Source organism: Homo sapiens, chromosome 12, assembly GCF_000001405.40.
Source record: "Homo sapiens chromosome 12, GRCh38.p14 Primary Assembly".
NCBI classification, from domain to species: domain Eukaryota; kingdom Metazoa; phylum Chordata; class Mammalia; order Primates; family Hominidae; genus Homo; species Homo sapiens.
This window is the reverse complement of record NC_000012.12, coordinates 8,597,641-8,619,698: the sequence shown is the minus strand read 5'-3', so window position 1 is coordinate 8,619,698 and position 22,058 is coordinate 8,597,641. Positions and strand designations below refer to the sequence as shown.

General features: G+C 42.0%; 1 protein-coding gene across 3 annotated transcripts; it reads left to right on the top strand.

The window, feature by feature from the left end:
- AICDA (activation induced cytidine deaminase) lies at positions 6,840–17,529 on the top strand. 3 transcript variants are annotated; one of them, NM_001330343.2, is made up of 5 exons: positions 6,840–6,939; positions 12,687–12,834; positions 14,214–14,484; positions 14,807–14,892; positions 15,362–17,529. In NM_001330343.2, the coding sequence occupies exons 1-5, from the start codon at positions 6,932–6,934 to the stop codon at positions 15,413–15,415; spliced, it is 567 nt and encodes a 188-aa protein (NP_001317272.1). In that variant the 5' UTR covers positions 6,840–6,931; the 3' UTR covers positions 15,416–17,529. The 3 variants fall into 3 exon arrangements, with proteins under 3 accessions (NP_001317272.1, NP_065712.1, NP_001397899.1); NM_020661.4 differs by having other exon boundaries at positions 14,777–14,892; NM_001410970.1 differs by lacking the exon at positions 14,807–14,892.

Genomic DNA, 22,058 nt, shown 5'->3' with positions numbered 1-22,058 from the left:
TTCAGAAACACCAACTCTAAGGAAATGGAGTCAGTGTTCTGAACTAGGGAAGTTAAAGTATCATTTATATAGGCAGAGACACAGGAGTTTATGCACACTTACAGCATTTTTCATACAAGGTTGGTGCATAGTTATAACAATTTGATTGATTATAGGCAGTGTTTCTTTTTGGGAAGGGTACATATAGCATCTTTTGCAGATGTTGTAATAGTCATATGTTTTCTGTCATCTGGTCTAGGCAAAGCAAGACGACAAAGGAGAAGTTAATCTATGATAAGGGTCATTAATTAACAAGGCAGGAGGTTTTTGTCCTTGAGGTCATTTAATTTTCTCTAGTTACTGTACAGGACAAGAAAAATAAGGAAGTGGGTTAGTCTATAACTTGAGAAGCAGATGTTGCAACCATATGTGACTCAGATCACAGTCACATCTCTCTCAAGGCTTACAGTGTTTCTGGGGTTCCAACAGCTTTTTAAAATTTTTTTGAGATGGAGTTTCACTCTTGTCGCCCAGGCTGGAGTATAATGGTGTGATCTCAGCATACTGCAACCTCCGCCTCCTGGGTTCAAGCAATTCTGCCGCAGCCTCTCGAGTAACTGGGATTACAGGTATGCGCCACCACACCCAGCTAATTTTTGTATGTTTAGTAGAGATGAGGTTTCACCATGTTGGCCAGGCTGGTCTCGAACTCCTGACCTCAAGTGATCTGCCCACCTCAGCCTCCCAAAGTGCTGAGATTATAGGCGTGAGCCACCGCGCCTGGTCCACGAACAGCTTTTAAATCATATTTATTCTCACATAAATAACCCAATTAAAAATGGACAGAGGACCTGAATAGACATTTCTCAAAAGAAGACATACAATTGTCCAACAAGTGTATGAAAATGTGCTTAACACGGTAATCATGAGGGAAATACAAATCAAAATCACAGTGAGATATCATCTCTGTGAAATAATAAGAATAATATATATTTGGTCTCTGCCCCTGGTTCCTGGCACAGATTTCCTAAAGCCCTGAGAATTTCCTGAGTGATAAGAGCATCTGACACAGAGCTTTCGAATAGCTTGGAATTTCTGGATGACAGGAGTTTGTTTTGTTCTAATGAGATGACTCCTGGTAGGCTCTAGGAGAGGTGCCAGTCCCCAGAAAGACCAAGTCATGACTAGAAGCTTGGAATTTTCAGCCCCACTCCCCATTCTCCCGAGAGACGAGAGGGGCTGGGAATAGAGTAAATAATTAATCGTGCCTACATGATCAAGTCTCCATAAAAATCCCTGAAGTATGGAGTTCAAAGAGCTTCTGAGTTGGTAAATATATCTGTGTAGCAGGAGGGTGGCACACCCCAACTCCAGGGGACAGAAGCTTCTGTGCTCAGACCCCTCCCGTTCTTACCCTCTGTACTTTCATCGAGCTGTTCATACGTAACTTTTTTTTTTTTTGAGACAGAATCTCGCTCTGTCACCCAGGCTGGAGTGCAGTGGTGCGATCTCAGCTACTGCAACCTCTGCCTCCTGAGTTCAAGCGATTCTCATGCTTCAGCATCCTGAGTAGCTGGGACTATAGGTGTGAGCCACCATGCCCAACTAATTTTTGTGTTTTTTTAGTAGAGATGGAAGTTTCATCATGCTGGCCAGACTGGTCTCAAACTCCTGGCCCGAAGTGATCTGCCCACCTTGGCCTTCCGGAGTGCTGGGATTACAGGCATGCACCACCACACCTGGCTTGTATGCTTTATTATATCCTTTATTAGCATAATAAACTGCTAAAAGTTAAGTAAGTGTTTCCCCGAGTTTGCTAAGCCAGCTTAGCAAATTAATGGAACCCAAGGCATGGGTTGTAGGAACCCCTAAGCCAGTTGATCAGAAGTACAGGTCACAACCTGAAATTTGAGATTGGCATCTGAAGTGGGGTCCATCTTGTGGGACTGACCCACAATCTGTGAGGTCTGATGCTATCTCCAGGTAGATAATGCCAGAATTGAATTAAATTATAGAACACCCAGTTGATGTCCACTGGAAAACTGCTTGGTGTATGGGAAAAGACCGGCACACATCTGGTGTCAGAAGGGCTGTGTTGAGTGGTATGTGAAGGTGGAAGAAAAAATAGTCAGTTCTTCCTATTATATGCTTTCTTTTTCTTTTTTTTTTTTTTTAAGACGGAGTCTCACTCTGTCTCCCAGGCTGGAGTGCAGTGGCACGATCTCTGCTCACTGCAACCTCCACCTCCCGGGTTCAAGCAATTCTCCTGCCTCAGCCTCCCGAGTAGCTGGGATTACAGTTGCCTGCCACCACAACTGGCTTATTTTTGTATTTTTTTTTTTCAGTAGAGACGGGGTTTCACCATGTTGGCCAGGCTGATCTCGAACTCCTGACCTCAGGTGATCTGCCTGCCTCGGCCTTCCAAAGTGCTGGGATTACAGATGTGAGCCACCACACCTGGCCCCTATTATTGGGTTTGCATTTTACATTTTTATTTTTTCCTATCTCTTAACCTCACACCTGTTAGAATGGCTATTACCATAAAGACAAAAGAAAACAAGCGTTGGTGAGAATGTGGAGCGAAAGGAACCTTTGTACACTGTTGGTGGGAATGTAAATTGGCACAGCCGTTATAGGGAACAGTATGGAGGTTTCTCCAAAAAAAAAAAACTAAAACTAGAACTACTATATGATCCTCAAAAATTTTAATACAGAACTACCATATTGAGCAATCCTGCTTCTGGGTAAATACCCAAAGAAAACAAAATCAGTGCCTTGAAGAGATAACTCCATGTCCACTGCTGCGCTATTCACAATAGCCAAGATATGGAGACAACCTACGTGTCTGTCGACAGATGAATGGATCAAGAAAATGTGGCACGTATATATATATCAGAATAAGAATATCATTCTGCCTTAAGAAAGGAGATCTTGCCATTTGCAACAACATTGATAAATCTGGAGGACATTATGCTTGGTGAAATAAGCCAGACACAGAAAGAAAAATACTGCATAATCTCACTTATATGTGGAATCTTAAAAAGTTGAACACATAGAAGCAGAAAGTAAAATGGTGAGCCAGCCACAGTGGCTCACGCCTGTAATCTCAGCACTTTGGGAGGCCGAGGTGGGTGGATCACTTGAGGCCAGGAGTTCGAGACCAGCCTGGCCAACATGGTGAAACCCCCGTCTCTACTAAAAATACAAAAATCAGCTGGGCGTGGTGGTGCATGCTTGGAATTCCAGCTAATTGGGAGGCTGAGGCAGGAGAATCCTTTGAACCCAGGAGGCGGAGGTTGCAGTGAGCCGAGATCACACCATTGCACTCCAGCCTGGGCAACAGAGTGAGACTCCGTCTCAAAAAAAAAAAAAAAATAAAATAAGAAAGAAAGAAAGTAAAATGGTGGTTAGCAGGCATGGGGAGGTAGGGAAAATGGGAAGATGTTGCTCAAATGGTACAAAGTTGCAGTTATACAGGATTAATAAGTCTAGAGCTCTATTGTACAGCATGATGACTACAGTTAAAAAAGATTGTATTGGGCCAGGCACAGTGGCTCACACCTGTAATCACAGCACTTTGGCTGAGATGGGAGCATTGTTTGAGCCCAGGAGTTCAAGACCTAACTGAGCAACATAGTGAGATCCTGCCTGTACAAAAAAACAAACAAAAAAATTAGCCCAGTGTGGTAGTGTGCAGCTGTGGTCCCAGCTACTCGGGAGGCTGAGGTGGGAGGATTGTTTGAGCCCGGGAGGTCAACGCTGCAGTGAGCCAAGATCATGCCACTGCACACCAGCCTAGGCAACAGAGTGAGACTCTTGTCTCGAAAAAAAAAAAAAATTGTATACTGGAAATTTTCTAAGACAGTAGATTTCAGATGCGGTCACCACACACACATATCCATACAAGGTTACTATGTGAGGAGATGGATAAGTTAATTAGCTTGACTGTAGTAATCATTTCATTACAGATAACAAAACACCATGTTATGCACCTTAAATATGTGCCGTTTTTATTTAAAACAATAAAACAACCCAATTGTGTGTACCTGTGTGTTATTCTCTTGACAAATGGGTGAAAATATGATAAAAGCCCAACTCGCATCTGAGGATACAACTTAAAGGGATTAGATTTCAAATGCCTGCACCTTCCAGTTGACGCTGCAGATGAATTAGGAGTCTCCATTCTGCTCCTTGACCAACTGTCCTATAAAACTGAGAGTGCCAAAGGCAACTACCGTCTACTATCTTGCTGGTGCCCTGAGGAATTTTTTCAGCAATAATAATTTAGACAAGGCCAGGTGCAGTGGCTCACGCCTGTAATCCCAGCACTTTGGAAGGCTGATATGGGCAGATCACTTGACCCCAGGAGTTCGACACCAGCCTGGTCAACATGGAAAGGCCTCGTCTCTAAAGAAAAATACAAAAATGAGCTGGGTGTGGTGGCACATTCCTGTAGTCTCAGCTCCTCGGGAGGCTGAGGCAGGAGTGTCACTTGAGCCCAGGAGGTCAAGGCCTGCAGTGAGCCATGTTCATGTCACTGTAGTGCAGCCTGGGTGACAGAGAGAGACCCTCCTCAAAATAATAATTATTATTATTACATAATTATTAGAAATAATTATAATTATTATTTTGAATCTCATGGCTAATTAAAAAATAATTTAAACAGATTATTTTACTTGTCTTTAGTTTACTTAGGAGTGTATTTTAAGTGATAAGTGCTAAAGAGAAAAATAATTTAGGGGATGGAGGCAAGGGAGTGTCAGAATGGTGAGATTTTGTTGACATTTTAGATATGGTGACTAGGACAAATCTCAAATACCGGACAGTATTTGAATAAGGACATAAAATATATGATGGTGTAAGCCACAACCATACACAAAAAATAACATTTCAGCAGAGGGACCTCAAGGGCAGAGGAAGGAGTGTGCGCTCTTTGCGTGAGCAAGGGAGAGAGTGGAAGGAGATGCAGCCAGAGGGGTGAAGCAGAGCAGACGGTAGAGGGGCTTGTGGGCCATCTCAGGCTGCTGGCCTATACTGAGAGAATGGGAAGCCATGGAGGGTTATGACAGGGGAGTGACATGACCTTAAATATTCCAGAAGGAATACTCTAGTTGCCATGTGGAGAACAGACTGTAATCGAAGAAGGGGGAGGCAGGAAGGCCAGTTGGGAAGCAAAATGCAATAATCCAGGTTGCTTGGACCTGGAGGTAGTGAGAAGTGGTCAGTTTGTGGCTATATTCTGGAAGCAGAGATAACAGGATTTGCTAATGGAGTGTGCATGGAATTTAAAAGAAAGAGAGGAGCTGAGAGACACTCTGCCCAGGTTTTGCCAAGCAATTGGAAGAATACTGCTGTTTATTGAGATGGGAAAGACGGCAAGAAGAGTAGGTAAGGCAGAGAACAGGGGTTCTGTTTTAGACAGGCTGGAGGTGCTCAGACATCCAAATGGAGATTCTGAGAGGGAAGCTGGATACACTTGTCTTGAGTTTCAAGAAGTGGTCTGATAGATTTGCCTGTGTCCCCACCCAAATCTCATCTTGAATTGTAGTTCCCACAATTCCCACATGTCATGGGAGGGACCCAGTGGGAGGTAGTTGAACAATGGGGGTGGGTCTTTCCCATGCTGTTCTCATGATAGTGAATAAGTCTCACAAGATCTGATGGTTTTATAAAGGGATTTCCCCCTGCGTGAGCTCTCTCTTGCCTACCACCATGTAAGATGTCCCTTGCTCTTCTGCCATGATTGTGAGGCCTCCCCAGCCATGTGGAACTGTGAGTCAACTAAACCTCTTTCCTTTATAAATTACCCAGTCTCAGGCATGTCTTTATTAGCAGTGTGAGAACAGACGAATACATGGTCCAAGCTAGGGCTATTGATTTGAAAATCATCAAGGTATAGATGGTATCAAAGGCTTGAGGCAGGAAGAGAGCAGAGACCCTAGCTGCATTGCTTAGCATTGCATCCCTAGCACCTGGCATAGTTTCCATTAACAGTAGGCATGAAGTATCTACTCAGTGAATAAATAGAATGCATATGGGCTACAGTAGGAGAGAGAAATAAAATCTTTAATAGACCAAGTTCTATGAGAGCACAAAATTAAAGTCTTTTATTTGAAGATCTTAGCCTGTTTTCCAAATTCAGTGCAGCCAGTTAGACACTGAATCTGTCTGGTGAAACAAGCATTTTTGTATTTTGGGGGACTGCTGCTGCTTCTGACTCCAAATTAAGGATTTTTTTTTTTTCTAAAAAAGATGGCTCATGCAAAAATCACTCTTTGGTGTAAATATCTAGTCTTCAAGCAATTCTTGTAATGCAATCAGAAAGAAAAAAATCCATGGTTTGGGAGGCAAAATTTTTGTGTTCTAAATTCTATATAACTGAGTTCATTTGCTTAACTGCAAAGCAGGAGCTGCTAGTGCCTGTCTGTACTGAGGTTCAGAGAGACTGTGGGAATATGGGGGAATTAGAGGCTATCTGAGGCTCTTCAACACAATAACCCAAGAAGCTATTTAAATGCTCTTTAAGGTATTTACATAAATATTACTATTCTCATTGTGCTTTTATTTTGTGTTATCATGATTATAATTGAAGTGTCTACTGTTACTGCCTCCTGATCTTTGCTAGCTATGGAGCATGGACTGGGCTTTTAGAGCAGCAGCCCCAAAGGAACCTAAACATTAAAGCAGAGCTGCCCTCAATGGTTTAACCTGTGTGACTCTGCCTATGACAGCCCCACCCACCCATCTTCACTGGATCCAAATCAGGAGCAAGGCCGTTGGGGTACCTGGTGGGGGTGATGCTGTCAGGGGAGGAGCCCAAAAGGGCAAGCTCAAATTTGAATGTGAAGGGCCAATGCACTGTCAGACTAAGACAGAGAACCATCATTAATTGAAGTGAGATTTTTCTGGCCTGAGACTTGCAGGGAGGCAAGAAGACACTCTGGACACCACTATGGACAGGTAAAGAGGCAGTCTTCTCGTGGGTGATTGCACTGGCCTTCCTCTCAGAGCAAATCTGAGTAATGAGACTGGTAGCTATCCCTTTCTCTCATGTAACTGTCTGACTGATAAGATCAGCTTGATCAATATGCATATATATTTTTTGATCTGTCTCCTTTTCTTCTATTCAGATCTTATACGCTGTCAGCCCAATTCTTTCTGTTTCAGACTTCTCTTGATTTCCCTCTTTTTCATGTGGCAAAAGAAGTAGTGCGTACAATGTACTGATTCGTCCTGAGATTTGTACCATGGTTGAAACTAATTTATGGTAATAATATTAACATAGCAAATCTTTAGAGACTCAAATCATGAAAAGGTAATAGCAGTACTGTACTAAAAACGGTAGTGCTAATTTTCGTAATAATTTTGTAAATATTCAACAGTAAAACAACTTGAAGACACACTTTCCTAGGGAGGCGTTACTGAAATAATTTAGCTATAGTAAGAAAATTTGTAATTTTAGAAATGCCAAGCATTCTAAATTAATTGCTTGAAAGTCACTATGATTGTGTCCATTATAAGGAGACAAATTCATTCAAGCAAGTTATTTAATGTTAAAGGCCCAATTGTTAGGCAGTTAATGGCACTTTTACTATTAACTAATCTTTCCATTTGTTCAGACGTAGCTTAACTTACCTCTTAGGTGTGAATTTGGTTAAGGTCCTCATAATGTCTTTATGTGCAGTTTTTGATAGGTTATTGTCATAGAACTTATTCTATTCCTACATTTATGATTACTATGGATGTATGAGAATAACACCTAATCCTTATACTTTACCTCAATTTAACTCCTTTATAAAGAACTTACATTACAGAATAAAGATTTTTTAAAAATATATTTTTTTGTAGAGACAGGGTCTTAGCCCAGCCGAGGCTGGTCTCTAAGTCCTGGCCCAAGCGATCCTCCTGCCTGGGCCTCCTAAAGTGCTGGAATTATAGACATGAGCCATCACATCCAATATACAGAATAAAGATTTTTAATGGAGGATTTAATGTTCTTCAGAAAATTTTCTTGAGGTCAGACAATGTCAAATGTCTCCTCAGTTTACACTGAGATTTTGAAAACAAGTCTGAGCTATAGGTCCTTGTGAAGGGTCCATTGGAAATACTTGTTCAAAGTAAAATGGAAAGCAAAGGTAAAATCAGCAGTTGAAATTCAGAGAAAGACAGAAAAGGAGAAAAGATGAAATTCAACAGGACAGAAGGGAAATATATTATCATTAAGGAGGACAGTATCTGTAGAGCTCATTAGTGATGGCAAAATGACTTGGTCAGGATTATTTTTAACCCGCTTGTTTCTGGTTTGCACGGCTGGGGATGCAGCTAGGGTTCTGCCTCAGGGAGCACAGCTGTCCAGAGCAGCTGTCAGCCTGCAAGCCTGAAACACTCCCTCGGTAAAGTCCTTCCTACTCAGGACAGAAATGACGAGAACAGGGAGCTGGAAACAGGCCCCTAACCAGAGAAGGGAAGTAATGGATCAACAAAGTTAACTAGCAGGTCAGGATCACGCAATTCATTTCACTCTGACTGGTAACATGTGACAGAAACAGTGTAGGCTTATTGTATTTTCATGTAGAGTAGGACCCAAAAATCCACCCAAAGTCCTTTATCTATGCCACATCCTTCTTATCTATACTTCCAGGACACTTTTTCTTCCTTATGATAAGGCTCTCTCTCTCTCCACACACACACACACACACACACACACACACACACACACACACACAAACACACACCCCGCCAACCAAGGTGCATGTAAAAAGATGTAGATTCCTCTGCCTTTCTCATCTACACAGCCCAGGAGGGTAAGTTAATATAAGAGGGATTTATTGGTAAGAGATGATGCTTAATCTGTTTAACACTGGGCCTCAAAGAGAGAATTTCTTTTCTTCTGTACTTATTAAGCACCTATTATGTGTTGAGCTTATATATACAAAGGGTTATTATATGCTAATATAGTAATAGTAATGGTGGTTGGTACTATGGTAATTACCATAAAAATTATTATCCTTTTAAAATAAAGCTAATTATTATTGGATCTTTTTTAGTATTCATTTTATGTTTTTTATGTTTTTGATTTTTTAAAAGACAATCTCACCCTGTTACCCAGGCTGGAGTGCAGTGGTGCAATCATAGCTTTCTGCAGTCTTGAACTCCTGGGCTCAAGCAATCCTCCTGCCTTGGCCTCCCAAAGTGTTGGGATACAGTCATGAGCCACTGCATCTGGCCTAGGATCCATTTAGATTAAAATATGCATTTTAAATTTTAAAATAATATGGCTAATTTTTACCTTATGTAATGTGTATACTGGCAATAAATCTAGTTTGCTGCCTAAAGTTTAAAGTGCTTTCCAGTAAGCTTCATGTACGTGAGGGGAGACATTTAAAGTGAAACAGACAGCCAGGTGTGGTGGCTCACGCCTGTAATCCCAGCACTCTGGGAGGCTGAGGTGGGTGGATCGCTTGAGCCCTGGAGTTCAAGACCAGCCTGAGCAACATGGCAAAACGCTGTTTCTATAACAAAAATTAGCCGGGCATGGTGGCATGTGCCTGTGGTCCCAGCTACTAGGGGGCTGAGGCAGGAGAATCGTTGGAGCCCAGGAGGTCAAGGCTGCACTGAGCAGTGCTTGCGCCACTGCACTCCAGCCTGGGTGACAGGACCAGACCTTGCCTCAAAAAAATAAGAAGAAAAATTAAAAATAAATGGAAACAACTACAAAGAGCTGTTGTCCTAGATGAGCTACTTAGTTAGGCTGATATTTTGGTATTTAACTTTTAAAGTCAGGGTCTGTCACCTGCACTACATTATTAAAATATCAATTCTCAATGTATATCCACACAAAGACTGGTACGTGAATGTTCATAGTACCTTTATTCACAAAACCCCAAAGTAGAGACTATCCAAATATCCATCAACAAGTGAACAAATAAACAAAATGTGCTATATCCATGCAATGGAATACCACCCTGCAGTACAAAGAAGCTACTTGGGGATGAATCCCAAAGTCATGACGCTAAATGAAAGAGTCAGACATGAAGGAGGAGATAATGTATGCCATACGAAATTCTAGAAAATGAAAGTAACTTATAGTTACAGAAAGCAAATCAGGGCAGGCATAGAGGCTCACACCTGTAATCCCAGCACTTTGAGAGGCCACGTGGGAAGATTGCTAGAACTCAGGAGTTCAAGACCAGCCTGGGCAACACAGTGAAACTCCATTCTCCACAAAAATGGGAAAAAAAGAAAGCAAATCAGTGGTTGTCCTGTGGGGAGGGGAAGGACTGCAAAGAGGGAAGAAGCTCTGGTGGGGTGAGGGTGGTGATTCAGGTTCTGTATCCTGACTGTGGTAGCAGTTTGGGGTGTTTACATCCAAAAATATTCGTAGAATTATGCATCTTAAATGGGTGGAGTTTACTGTATGTAAATTATACCTCAATGTAAGAAAAAATAATGTGTAAGAAAACTTTCAATTCTCTTGCCAGCAAACGTTATTCAAATTCCTGAGCCCTTTACTTCGCAAATTCTCTGCACTTCTGCCCCGTACCATTAGGTGACAGCACTAGCTCCACAAATTGGATAAATGCATTTCTGGAAAAGACTAGGGACAAAATCCAGGCATCACTTGTGCTTTCATATCAACCATGCTGTACAGCTTGTGTTGCTGTCTGCAGCTGCAATGGGGACTCTTGATTTCTTTAAGGAAACTTGGGTTACCAGAGTATTTCCACAAATGCTATTCAAATTAGTGCTTATGATATGCAAGACACTGTGCTAGGAGCCAGAAAACAAAGAGGAGGAGAAATCAGTCATTATGTGGGAACAACATAGCAAGATATTTAGATCATTTTGACTAGTTAAAAAAGCAGCAGAGTACAAAATCACACATGCAATCAGTATAATCCAAATCATGTAAATATGTGCCTGTAGAAAGACTAGAGGAATAAACACAAGAATCTTAACAGTCATTGTCATTAGACACTAAGTCTAATTATTATTATTAGACACTATGATATTTGAGATTTAAAAAATCTTTAATATTTTAAAATTTAGAGCTCTTCTATTTTTCCATAGTATTCAAGTTTGACAATGATCAAGTATTACTCTTTCTTTTTTTTTTTTTTTTTTTTTTTTTGAGATGGAGTTTTGGTCTTGTTGCCCATGCTGGAGTGGAATGGCATGACCATAGCTCACTGCAACCTCCACCTCCTGGGTTCAAGCAAAGCTGTCGCCTCAGCCTCCCGGGTAGATGGGATTACAGGCGCCCACCACCACACTCGGCTAATGTTTGTATTTTTAGTAGAGATGGGGTTTCACCATGTTGGCCAGGCTGGTCTCAAACTCCTGACCTCAGAGGATCCACCTGCCTCAGCCTCCCAAAGTGCTGGGATTACAGATGTAGGCCACTGCGCCCGGCCAAGTATTGCTCTTATACATTAAAAAACAGGTGTGAGCCACTGCGCCCAGCCAGGTATTGCTCTTATACATTAAAAAATAGGCCGGTGCAGTGGCTCACGCCTGTAATCCCAGCACTTTGGGAAGCCAAGGCGGGCAGAACACCCGAGGTCAGGAGTCCAAGGCCAGCCTGGCCAAGATGGTGAAACCCCGTCTCTATTAAAAATACAAACATTACCTGGGCATGATGGTGGGCGCCTGTAATCCCAGCTACTCAGGAGGCTGAGGCAGGAGGATCCGCGGAGCCTGGCAGATCTGCCTGAGCCTGGGAGGTTGAGGCTACAGTAAGCCAAGATCATGCCAGTATACTTCAGCCTGGGCGACAAAGTGAGACCGTAACAAAAAAAAAAAAATTTAAAAAAAGAAATTTAGATCAAGATCCAACTGTAAAAAGTGGCCTAAACACCACATTAAAGAGTTTGGAGTTTATTCTGCAGGCAGAAGAGAACCATCAGGGGGTCTTCAGCATGGGAATGGCATGGTGCACCTGGTTTTTGTGAGATCATGGTGGTGACAGTGTGGGGAATGTTATTTTGGAGGGACTGGAGGCAGACAGACCGGTTAAAAGGCCAGCACAACAGATAAGGAGGAAGAAGATGAGGGCTTGGACCGAAGCAGAGAAGAGCAAACAGGGAAGGTACAAATTCAAGAAATATTGGGGGGTTTGAATCAACACATTTAGATGATTAATTAAATATGAGGACTGAGGAATAAGAAATGAGTCAAGGATGGTTCCAGGCTGCTAGGCTGCTTACCTGAGGTGGCAAAGTCGGGAGGAGTGGCAGTTTAGGACAGGGGGCAGTTGAGGAATATTGTTTTGATCATTTTGAGTTTGAGGTACAAGTTGGACACTTAGGTAAAGACTGGAGGGGAAATCTGAATATACAATTATGGGACTGAGGAACAAGTTTATTTTATTTTTTGTTTCGTTTTCTTGTTGAAGAACAAATTTAATTGTAATCCCAAGTCATCAGCATCTAGAAGACAGTGGCAGGAGGTGACTGTCTTGTGGGTAAGGGTTTGGGGTCCTTGATGAGTATCTCTCAATTGGCCTTAAATATAAGCAGGAAAAGGAGTTTATGATGGATTCCAGGCTCAGCAGGGCTCAGGAGGGCTCAGGCAGCCAGCAGAGGAAGTCAGAGCATCTTCTTTGGTTTAGCCCAAGTAATGACTTCCTTAAAAAGCTGAAGGAAAATCCAGAGTGACCAGATTATAAACTGTACTCTTGCATTTTCTCTCCCTCCTCTCACCCACAGCCTCTTGATGAACCGGAGGAAGTTTCTTTACCAATTCAAAAATGTCCGCTGGGCTAAGGGTCGGCGTGAGACCTACCTGTGCTACGTAGTGAAGAGGCGTGACAGTGCTACATCCTTTTCACTGGACTTTGGTTATCTTCGCAATAAGGTATCAATTAAAGTCGGCTTTGCAAGCAGTTTAATGGTCAACTGTGAGTGCTTTTAGAGCCACCTGCTGATGGTATTACTTCCATCCTTTTTTGGCATTTGTGTCTCTATCACATTCCTCAAATCCTTTTTTTTATTTCTTTTTCCATGTCCATGCACCCATATTAGACATGGCCCAAAATATGTGATTTAATTCCTCCCCAGTAATGCTGGGCACCCTAATACCACTCCTTCCTTCAGTGCCAAGAACAACTGCTCCCAAACTGTTTACCAGCTTTCCTCAGCATCTGAATTGCCTTTGAGATTAATTAAGCTAAAAGCATTTTTATATGGGAGAATATTATCAGCTTGTCCAAGCAAAAATTTTAAATGTGAAAAACAAATTGTGTCTTAAGCATTTTTGAAAATTAAGGAAGAAGAATTTGGGAAAAAATTAACGGTGGCTCAATTCTGTCTTCCAAATGATTTCTTTTCCCTCCTACTCACATGGGTCGTAGGCCAGTGAATACATTCAACATGGTGATCCCCAGAAAACTCAGAGAAGCCTCGGCTGATGATTAATTAAATTGATCTTTCGGCTACCCGAGAGAATTACATTTCCAAGAGACTTCTTCACCAAAATCCAGATGGGTTTACATAAACTTCTGCCCACGGGTATCTCCTCTCTCCTAACACGCTGTGACGTCTGGGCTTGGTGGAATCTCAGGGAAGCATCCGTGGGGTGGAAGGTCATCGTCTGGCTCGTTGTTTGATGGTTATATTACCATGCAATTTTCTTTGCCTACATTTGTATTGAATACATCCCAATCTCCTTCCTATTCGGTGACATGACACATTCTATTTCAGAAGGCTTTGATTTTATCAAGCACTTTCATTTACTTCTCATGGCAGTGCCTATTACTTCTCTTACAATACCCATCTGTCTGCTTTACCAAAATCTATTTCCCCTTTTCAGATCCTCCCAAATGGTCCTCATAAACTGTCCTGCCTCCACCTAGTGGTCCAGGTATATTTCCACAATGTTACATCAACAGGCACTTCTAGCCATTTTCCTTCTCAAAAGGTGCAAAAAGCAACTTCATAAACACAAATTAAATCTTCGGTGAGGTAGTGTGATGCTGCTTCCTCCCAACTCAGCGCACTTCGTCTTCCTCATTCCACAAAAACCCATAGCCTTCCTTCACTCTGCAGGACTAGTGCTGCCAAGGGTTCAGCTCTACCTACTGGTGTGCTCTTTTGAGCAAGTTGCTTAGCCTCTCTGTAACACAAGGACAATAGCTGCAAGCATCCCCAAAGATCATTGCAGGAGACAATGACTAAGGCTACCAGAGCCGCAATAAAAGTCAGTGAATTTTAGCGTGGTCCTCTCTGTCTCTCCAGAACGGCTGCCACGTGGAATTGCTCTTCCTCCGCTACATCTCGGACTGGGACCTAGACCCTGGCCGCTGCTACCGCGTCACCTGGTTCACCTCCTGGAGCCCCTGCTACGACTGTGCCCGACATGTGGCCGACTTTCTGCGAGGGAACCCCAACCTCAGTCTGAGGATCTTCACCGCGCGCCTCTACTTCTGTGAGGACCGCAAGGCTGAGCCCGAGGGGCTGCGGCGGCTGCACCGCGCCGGGGTGCAAATAGCCATCATGACCTTCAAAGGTGCGAAAGGGCCTTCCGCGCAGGCGCAGTGCAGCAGCCCGCATTCGGGATTGCGATGCGGAATGAATGAGTTAGTGGGGAAGCTCGAGGGGAAGAAGTGGGCGGGGATTCTGGTTCACCTCTGGAGCCGAAATTAAAGATTAGAAGCAGAGAAAAGAGTGAATGGCTCAGAGACAAGGCCCCGAGGAAATGAGAAAATGGGGCCAGGGTTGCTTCTTTCCCCTCGATTTGGAACCTGAACTGTCTTCTACCCCCATATCCCCGCCTTTTTTTCCTTTTTTTTTTTTTGAAGATTATTTTTACTGCTGGAATACTTTTGTAGAAAACCACGAAAGAACTTTCAAAGCCTGGGAAGGGCTGCATGAAAATTCAGTTCGTCTCTCCAGACAGCTTCGGCGCATCCTTTTGGTAAGGGGCTTCCTCGCTTTTTAAATTTTCTTTCTTTCTCTACAGTCTTTTTTGGAGTTTCGTATATTTCTTATATTTTCTTATTGTTCAATCACTCTCAGTTTTCATCTGATGAAAACTTTATTTCTCCTCCACATCAGCTTTTTCTTCTGCTGTTTCACCATTCAGAGCCCTCTGCTAAGGTTCCTTTTCCCTCCCTTTTCTTTCTTTTGTTGTTTCACATCTTTAAATTTCTGTCTCTCCCCAGGGTTGCGTTTCCTTCCTGGTCAGAATTCTTTTCTCCTTTTTTTTTTTTTTTTTTTTTTTTTTTAAACAAACAAACAAAAAACCCAAAAAAACTCTTTCCCAATTTACTTTCTTCCAACATGTTACAAAGCCATCCACTCAGTTTAGAAGACTCTCCGGCCCCACCGACCCCCAACCTCGTTTTGAAGCCATTCACTCAATTTGCTTCTCTCTTTCTCTACAGCCCCTGTATGAGGTTGATGACTTACGAGACGCATTTCGTACTTTGGGACTTTGATAGCAACTTCCAGGAATGTCACACACGATGAAATATCTCTGCTGAAGACAGTGGATAAAAAACAGTCCTTCAAGTCTTCTCTGTTTTTATTCTTCAACTCTCACTTTCTTAGAGTTTACAGAAAAAATATTTATATACGACTCTTTAAAAAGATCTATGTCTTGAAAATAGAGAAGGAACACAGGTCTGGCCAGGGACGTGCTGCAATTGGTGCAGTTTTGAATGCAACATTGTCCCCTACTGGGAATAACAGAACTGCAGGACCTGGGAGCATCCTAAAGTGTCAACGTTTTTCTATGACTTTTAGGTAGGATGAGAGCAGAAGGTAGATCCTAAAAAGCATGGTGAGAGGATCAAATGTTTTTATATCAACATCCTTTATTATTTGATTCATTTGAGTTAACAGTGGTGTTAGTGATAGATTTTTCTATTCTTTTCCCTTGACGTTTACTTTCAAGTAACACAAACTCTTCCATCAGGCCATGATCTATAGGACCTCCTAATGAGAGTATCTGGGTGATTGTGACCCCAAACCATCTCTCCAAAGCATTAATATCCAATCATGCGCTGTATGTTTTAATCAGCAGAAGCATGTTTTTATGTTTGTACAAAAGAAGATTGTTATGGGTGGGGATGGAGGTATAGACCATGCATGGTCACCTTCAAGCTACTTTAATAAAGGATCTTAAAATGGGCAGGAGGACTGTGAACAAGACACCCTAATAATGGGTTGATGTCTGAAGTAGCAAATCTTCTGGAAACGCAAACTCTTTTAAGGAAGTCCCTAATTTAGAAACACCCACAAACTTCACATATCATAATTAGCAAACAATTGGAAGGAAGTTGCTTGAATGTTGGGGAGAGGAAAATCTATTGGCTCTCGTGGGTCTCTTCATCTCAGAAATGCCAATCAGGTCAAGGTTTGCTACATTTTGTATGTGTGTGATGCTTCTCCCAAAGGTATATTAACTATATAAGAGAGTTGTGACAAAACAGAATGATAAAGCTGCGAACCGTGGCACACGCTCATAGTTCTAGCTGCTTGGGAGGTTGAGGAGGGAGGATGGCTTGAACACAGGTGTTCAAGGCCAGCCTGGGCAACATAACAAGATCCTGTCTCTCAAAAAAAAAAAAAAAAAAAAGAAAGAGAGAGGGCCGGGCGTGGTGGCTCACGCCTGTAATCCCAGCACTTTGGGAGGCCGAGCCGGGCGGATCACCTGTGGTCAGGAGTTTGAGACCAGCCTGGCCAACATGGCAAAACCCCGTCTGTACTCAAAATGCAAAAATTAGCCAGGCGTGGTAGCAGGCACCTGTAATCCCAGCTACTTGGGAGGCTGAGGCAGGAGAATCGCTTGAACCCAGGAGGTGGAGGTTGCAGTAAGCTGAGATCGTGCCGTTGCACTCCAGCCTGGGCGACAAGAGCAAGACTCTGTCTCAGAAAAAAAAAAAAAAAAGAGAGAGAGAGAGAAAGAGAACAATATTTGGGAGAGAAGGATGGGGAAGCATTGCAAGGAAATTGTGCTTTATCCAACAAAATGTAAGGAGCCAATAAGGGATCCCTATTTGTCTCTTTTGGTGTCTATTTGTCCCTAACAACTGTCTTTGACAGTGAGAAAAATATTCAGAATAACCATATCCCTGTGCCGTTATTACCTAGCAACCCTTGCAATGAAGATGAGCAGATCCACAGGAAAACTTGAATGCACAACTGTCTTATTTTAATCTTATTGTACATAAGTTTGTAAAAGAGTTAAAAATTGTTACTTCATGTATTCATTTATATTTTATATTATTTTGCGTCTAATGATTTTTTATTAACATGATTTCCTTTTCTGATATATTGAAATGGAGTCTCAAAGCTTCATAAATTTATAACTTTAGAAATGATTCTAATAACAACGTATGTAATTGTAACATTGCAGTAATGGTGCTACGAAGCCATTTCTCTTGATTTTTAGTAAACTTTTATGACAGCAAATTTGCTTCTGGCTCACTTTCAATCAGTTAAATAAATGATAAATAATTTTGGAAGCTGTGAAGATAAAATACCAAATAAAATAATATAAAAGTGATTTATATGAAGTTAAAATAAAAAATCAGTATGATGGAATAAACTTGAGAGTCCAGAAGTTATCCCATACATCTGTAATCAACTAATTTCTCACAAGGGTGTAAGGACCATTCAATGGAGAAAAAATGATCTTCTCAACAAATGGTGCTGAGCTAATTGGATATTACATGCAAAGGAATGAATTTGAGTCTCTACTACACACCATATATAAAAATTAATTAAAAATTCATCAAATACCTAAATATTAGAGACTAATTTATAAACCGTAGAGAGAAACATAGGTAAAAATGTTTATGGCTTTAGATTAGGCAACAGCTTCTTAATTATGACATCAAAAGCACAAGCAACCAAAGACAAAAATAAATAAGTTGGACTTCATCGAAATTAAAAATCTTTGTGCATCAAAGGACACTTAGTAAGAAAGTGAAAAGACAACCCACAGAAGTGGGAGAAAACACTTGCAAATCATATATCTGATAAGGGTTGTGATATTATGATATATATATAGGTTTTTGTCCATAGTTCCTGGCTTATAAACCCCCTCACCCTTGTTACAGTCATTTGTTATAAGGTTGGATGGTTTAGGCCTCAGAAGCAAAACTCTCTCTCTCACCTTCTCCAGCCCTCCTGTCTCTGGCACCTCATTCTTCCCTGAGGCCACATAGAAACTAGAATCTCTCTTCCACAAGGCGGTCAAAGAAACCAGCACCTCCTTTCCCCCAAACCAGTCATAAAACCTAAAAATATTACTCTAATTCCCCCTCCTTTCCATATAAGCACTGGCTATAAGGAAATAATCTGACTGGGCATGATGGTTACGCCTGTAATCCCAGCATTATGGGAGGCCGAGGCAGGCAGGTGCCCTGAGCCTTGGAGTTCAAGACCAGCCTGGGCAACACAGTGAGACCCCATCTCTAAAAAACTTAGCCAGGCATGGTAGCACACATCTGTAGTCCCAGCTACTCTTAAGGCTGTCTCAAAAACAAAAAATAAACAAAAAACTGACCTATCTTGTTGGATTGTAGATCACGAGACCCTCATTCCAGACAGGGTCCTGCCCATATCCTGGGTGAAGGAATGCTGCACAGAGAGGCCAAGAAGAATCTGAACAGACACGCCTTACTGGGTTTCCCCAGTCTATCAGCATTAGATCATATCCTTTTTTCTTTTTCTTTTTTGAGACAGAGTCTAGCTCTGTCACCCAGGCTGGAGTGCACTGGCGCGGTTTCAGCTCACTACAACCTTCGCCTCCTGGGCTCAAGCAATTCTACTGCCTCAGCCTCCCGAGTAGCTGGGACTACAGGTGCCTGCCACCACGCCTGGCTAATTTTTGTATTTTTAGTAGAGATGGGGATTCACCAAATTGGTTAGGCTGGTCTCGAACTCCTGACCTCGGGTGATCTGCCCACCTTGGCCTCCCAAAGTGCTGGGGTTACAGGCGTGAGCCACTGTGGCCGGCCTTGATCATATCCTTTTTTCTAATCACAATTTTACAGGTTGTCCACGCTTCAGTTATGCCTATCCAATGAAGTCTCCATAAAGCCCAAGAAGACAGGGTTTAGGGAGCTTTCAGAGAGCTAAACACAAGAAGGTAAACAAAAACTCACCCATGTCTACAGTGCAGGTCTACAGAAAAATACAAAAACAAAAACAAAAAAAATCCAAACTCATCTGTGTCCTGGGAGGGTGGCATACCAGAACTCGGGGGGGATAGAAGTTTCTGTGCTCAGGACCCTTCCAGACCTTGCCCTATGTATCTCTTCATCTGGCTGTTTATTTGTGTCATTATCCTTTGTAATAAACCAGTAAACATAAGTATTTCCCTGAGTTCTGTGGGCAGTCCTAATGAATTAATCAAACCCAACAAAGGTCATGGGAACCCCAACTTGAAGTAACTGGTCAGCAGTTCCAGAGGCCTGGACTTGTGACTGGTGGGAGGGTGGGGATGATCTTGTGGGACTGAACCCTCAACCTGTGGGATCTGAAACTATGTCCAGGTAGATAGTATCTGAATTGAACTGGAAGATACCCAGCTTGTGCCTGCTGCAGAATAGATTGCTTGCATTGATTACAGAAGTGTTCTGTGTTGACTGTTGCTGTGGTATGAGAACAGAGGGAAAAACAGTTTGTGTATTTTTTCTGCTCAAGAGTCTAGTATCCAGAACATATAAAGAACTCTTAGGTTGGACACGGTGGCTAATGTCTGTAATCCCAGAACTTTGGGAGGCTGAGGAGGGAGGATTGCTTGAGCCCAGGAGTTCAAGACTAGCCTGGGAAACATGGTGAGACCCAATCTCTACAAAAAATTTAAAGAAATTAGCTGGACGGGGTGCTGTGAGCCTGTGGTGCCAGATACATAGAAGGCAGAGGCAGATGATCTCTTGAGCCCAGCAAGCCGAGGCTACAGCGAGCCGTGTGCACACCACTGTACTCTATTGTGGGTGACAGAGCAAGATTCTGTCTCAAAAAAAAAAAAAAAAAAAAAAAAAAGAGAGTGAGAGAGAAGAAAACTCTTATAATTCAACAACAACAGACAAACAACCTCATTTAAGAATGGCCAAATGGCCACTTAAAAACCTTAAGTAGACATTTCTTCAAATATTTACAAATGGCCAATAAGCACATGAAAAGATGCTCAATATCATTAGTCACTAGGGACATGCAAATTAAAACCACAATGAAATACTATTTTATACCCACTAGCGTGGCTATAAACAAAGAAACAAACAAAAAAAAACCCAATAACGAGTACTGTAGAAATCGGAACCCTCATATATTGGCTGGTGAAAATATAAAATGGTGCCGCAGTTGTGGAAAACAGTTTGGCAGTTCCTCTAAAGTTAAACATAGAATTACCGTATGACCCAGCAACTCTACTCCTGGGTATATATCTAAGAGAATTAGAGACATGTGTTCAAACAAAAACTTGTACAGGAATGTTAAAAAAACATATTCATAATGGCCAAAGAGTAGACACACTATCAACTAATGAACAAATAAACAAAAGGTGGTATATCTATACAATGGAATTTTATTCAGCCATAAAAATGAATGAAGTGCTGATGCATGCTACAACATGGATAAACCTTGCAGACATTGTGCTATGTGAAAGAATTTAGACACAAAAAGTCACTCATTGTATGATTCCACTTATATAAAATGTCCAGAATAGGAAAATCCATAGAGACAGAAAGATCTGTGGTTGTCATGGACTGGAGGGAGGGGGAAATGAGGAGTGTCTACTTAATGGGTATGAGATTTTTCTTTTGAGGGTGATGAAAGTAGCCTGAATTAGATAGTAGAATTATATACATTTTTTAAGTCAGTATGACTTTTTGTTTTTTTTTTGAGATAGAGTCTTACTCTGTCACCTAGGCTAGAGTACAGTGGCATGATCTTGGCTCACTGCAACCTCTGCCTCCTGGGCTCAGGTGATTCTTGTGCCTCAGACTCCTGAGTAGCTTAAATTACAGGTATGTGCCACCACACCTGGCTAATTTTTGTATTTTCAGAGAGACAGGGTTTCATGATGTTGGCCAGGCTGGTCTCAAACTCTTGGCCTCAAGTGATCTGCCTGCCTCAGCCTCCCAAAGTGCTGGGATTACAGGAGTGAGCTACCGTGCCGGGCCTGTCAGTATGACTTCGAAGTCAAGTAAACCTAAACTAGAGTTCTGGTTCCATGTGACAATGGGTTAGATGTTTAATCTCTGTAAAGCCTTAATTTCTTTCCTCTCTGTAAAATGGGTCCATTAATATTAACATTTCACGTATCTTTGGCTTTTGCCTGTATCTCAGCACTTTGGGAGGCTGAGGAGGGTGGATCGCTTGAGCCCAGGAGTTCGAGACCAACCTGGGCAACAGAGCGAAACCTCATCTGTACAAAAATTACAAAAATTAGCTGGGCTTGGTAGCGTGGACTTGTAGTCCCAGCTACTCAGGAGGGCTAAGGTGGGAGGATTGCTTGAGCCCAGGGGGCGGAGGTTGCAGTGAGCCATGATCACACCACTGCACACCAGCCTGGATGACAGAGTGAGATCCTGTCTCAAAATAATAATAATATTATTATTATTATTATTTTTGGTAAGTATTAAATTAGACAATAATAGAAAGTTGATGCTGTCTCCCTGAATGGCACTGCCATCCTTTCTGTTTGCAAGCCAGAAACTTAGAAATTACCCCTGACCTCAACCTCTGCCCCCATGGCTAGTTGTATAAATTTTGTTTTCTAACTGTCTCTTGAATTTACGTTTCTCTATCTCCTCTACTATCCCCTGAGAAAGATGAAAAGAAAGCAGCCCCTGACAGTTGAAAGCTGGCTTGATACTCACAGCTAAGACAAATTATTTTCCTATTGGACGTAACAGTCTCCCAACCTCAGAAAAAGTTACTCTAAGACTATGATAAAATAAGAGAAAGCAAAGCCTCTTCATAATTTTTTCTAAATACACAAAACGAACAAACAAATATGTTCACTGTGCCACCCACAAAATATCAAACACAAAATATCAAACATCCCTCTCTTGGCTAAAAAGGAATGACTGCTACATTTTCTTTCTTCTTTTTTAATCTTAA

What these genes read in the sequence shown, in the direction of transcription:
- AICDA (NM_020661.4), top strand. An exon ending in TTGGTTATCTTCGCAATAAG is followed by an intron (nt 12,835 to 14,213) that starts GTATCAATTAAA and finishes CTGTCTCTCCAG; the next exon opens with AACGGCTGCCACGTGGAATT. An exon ending in AGCCATCATGACCTTCAAAG is followed by an intron (nt 14,485 to 14,776) that starts GTGCGAAAGGGC and finishes TTTTTTTTGAAG; the next exon opens with ATTATTTTTACTGCTGGAAT.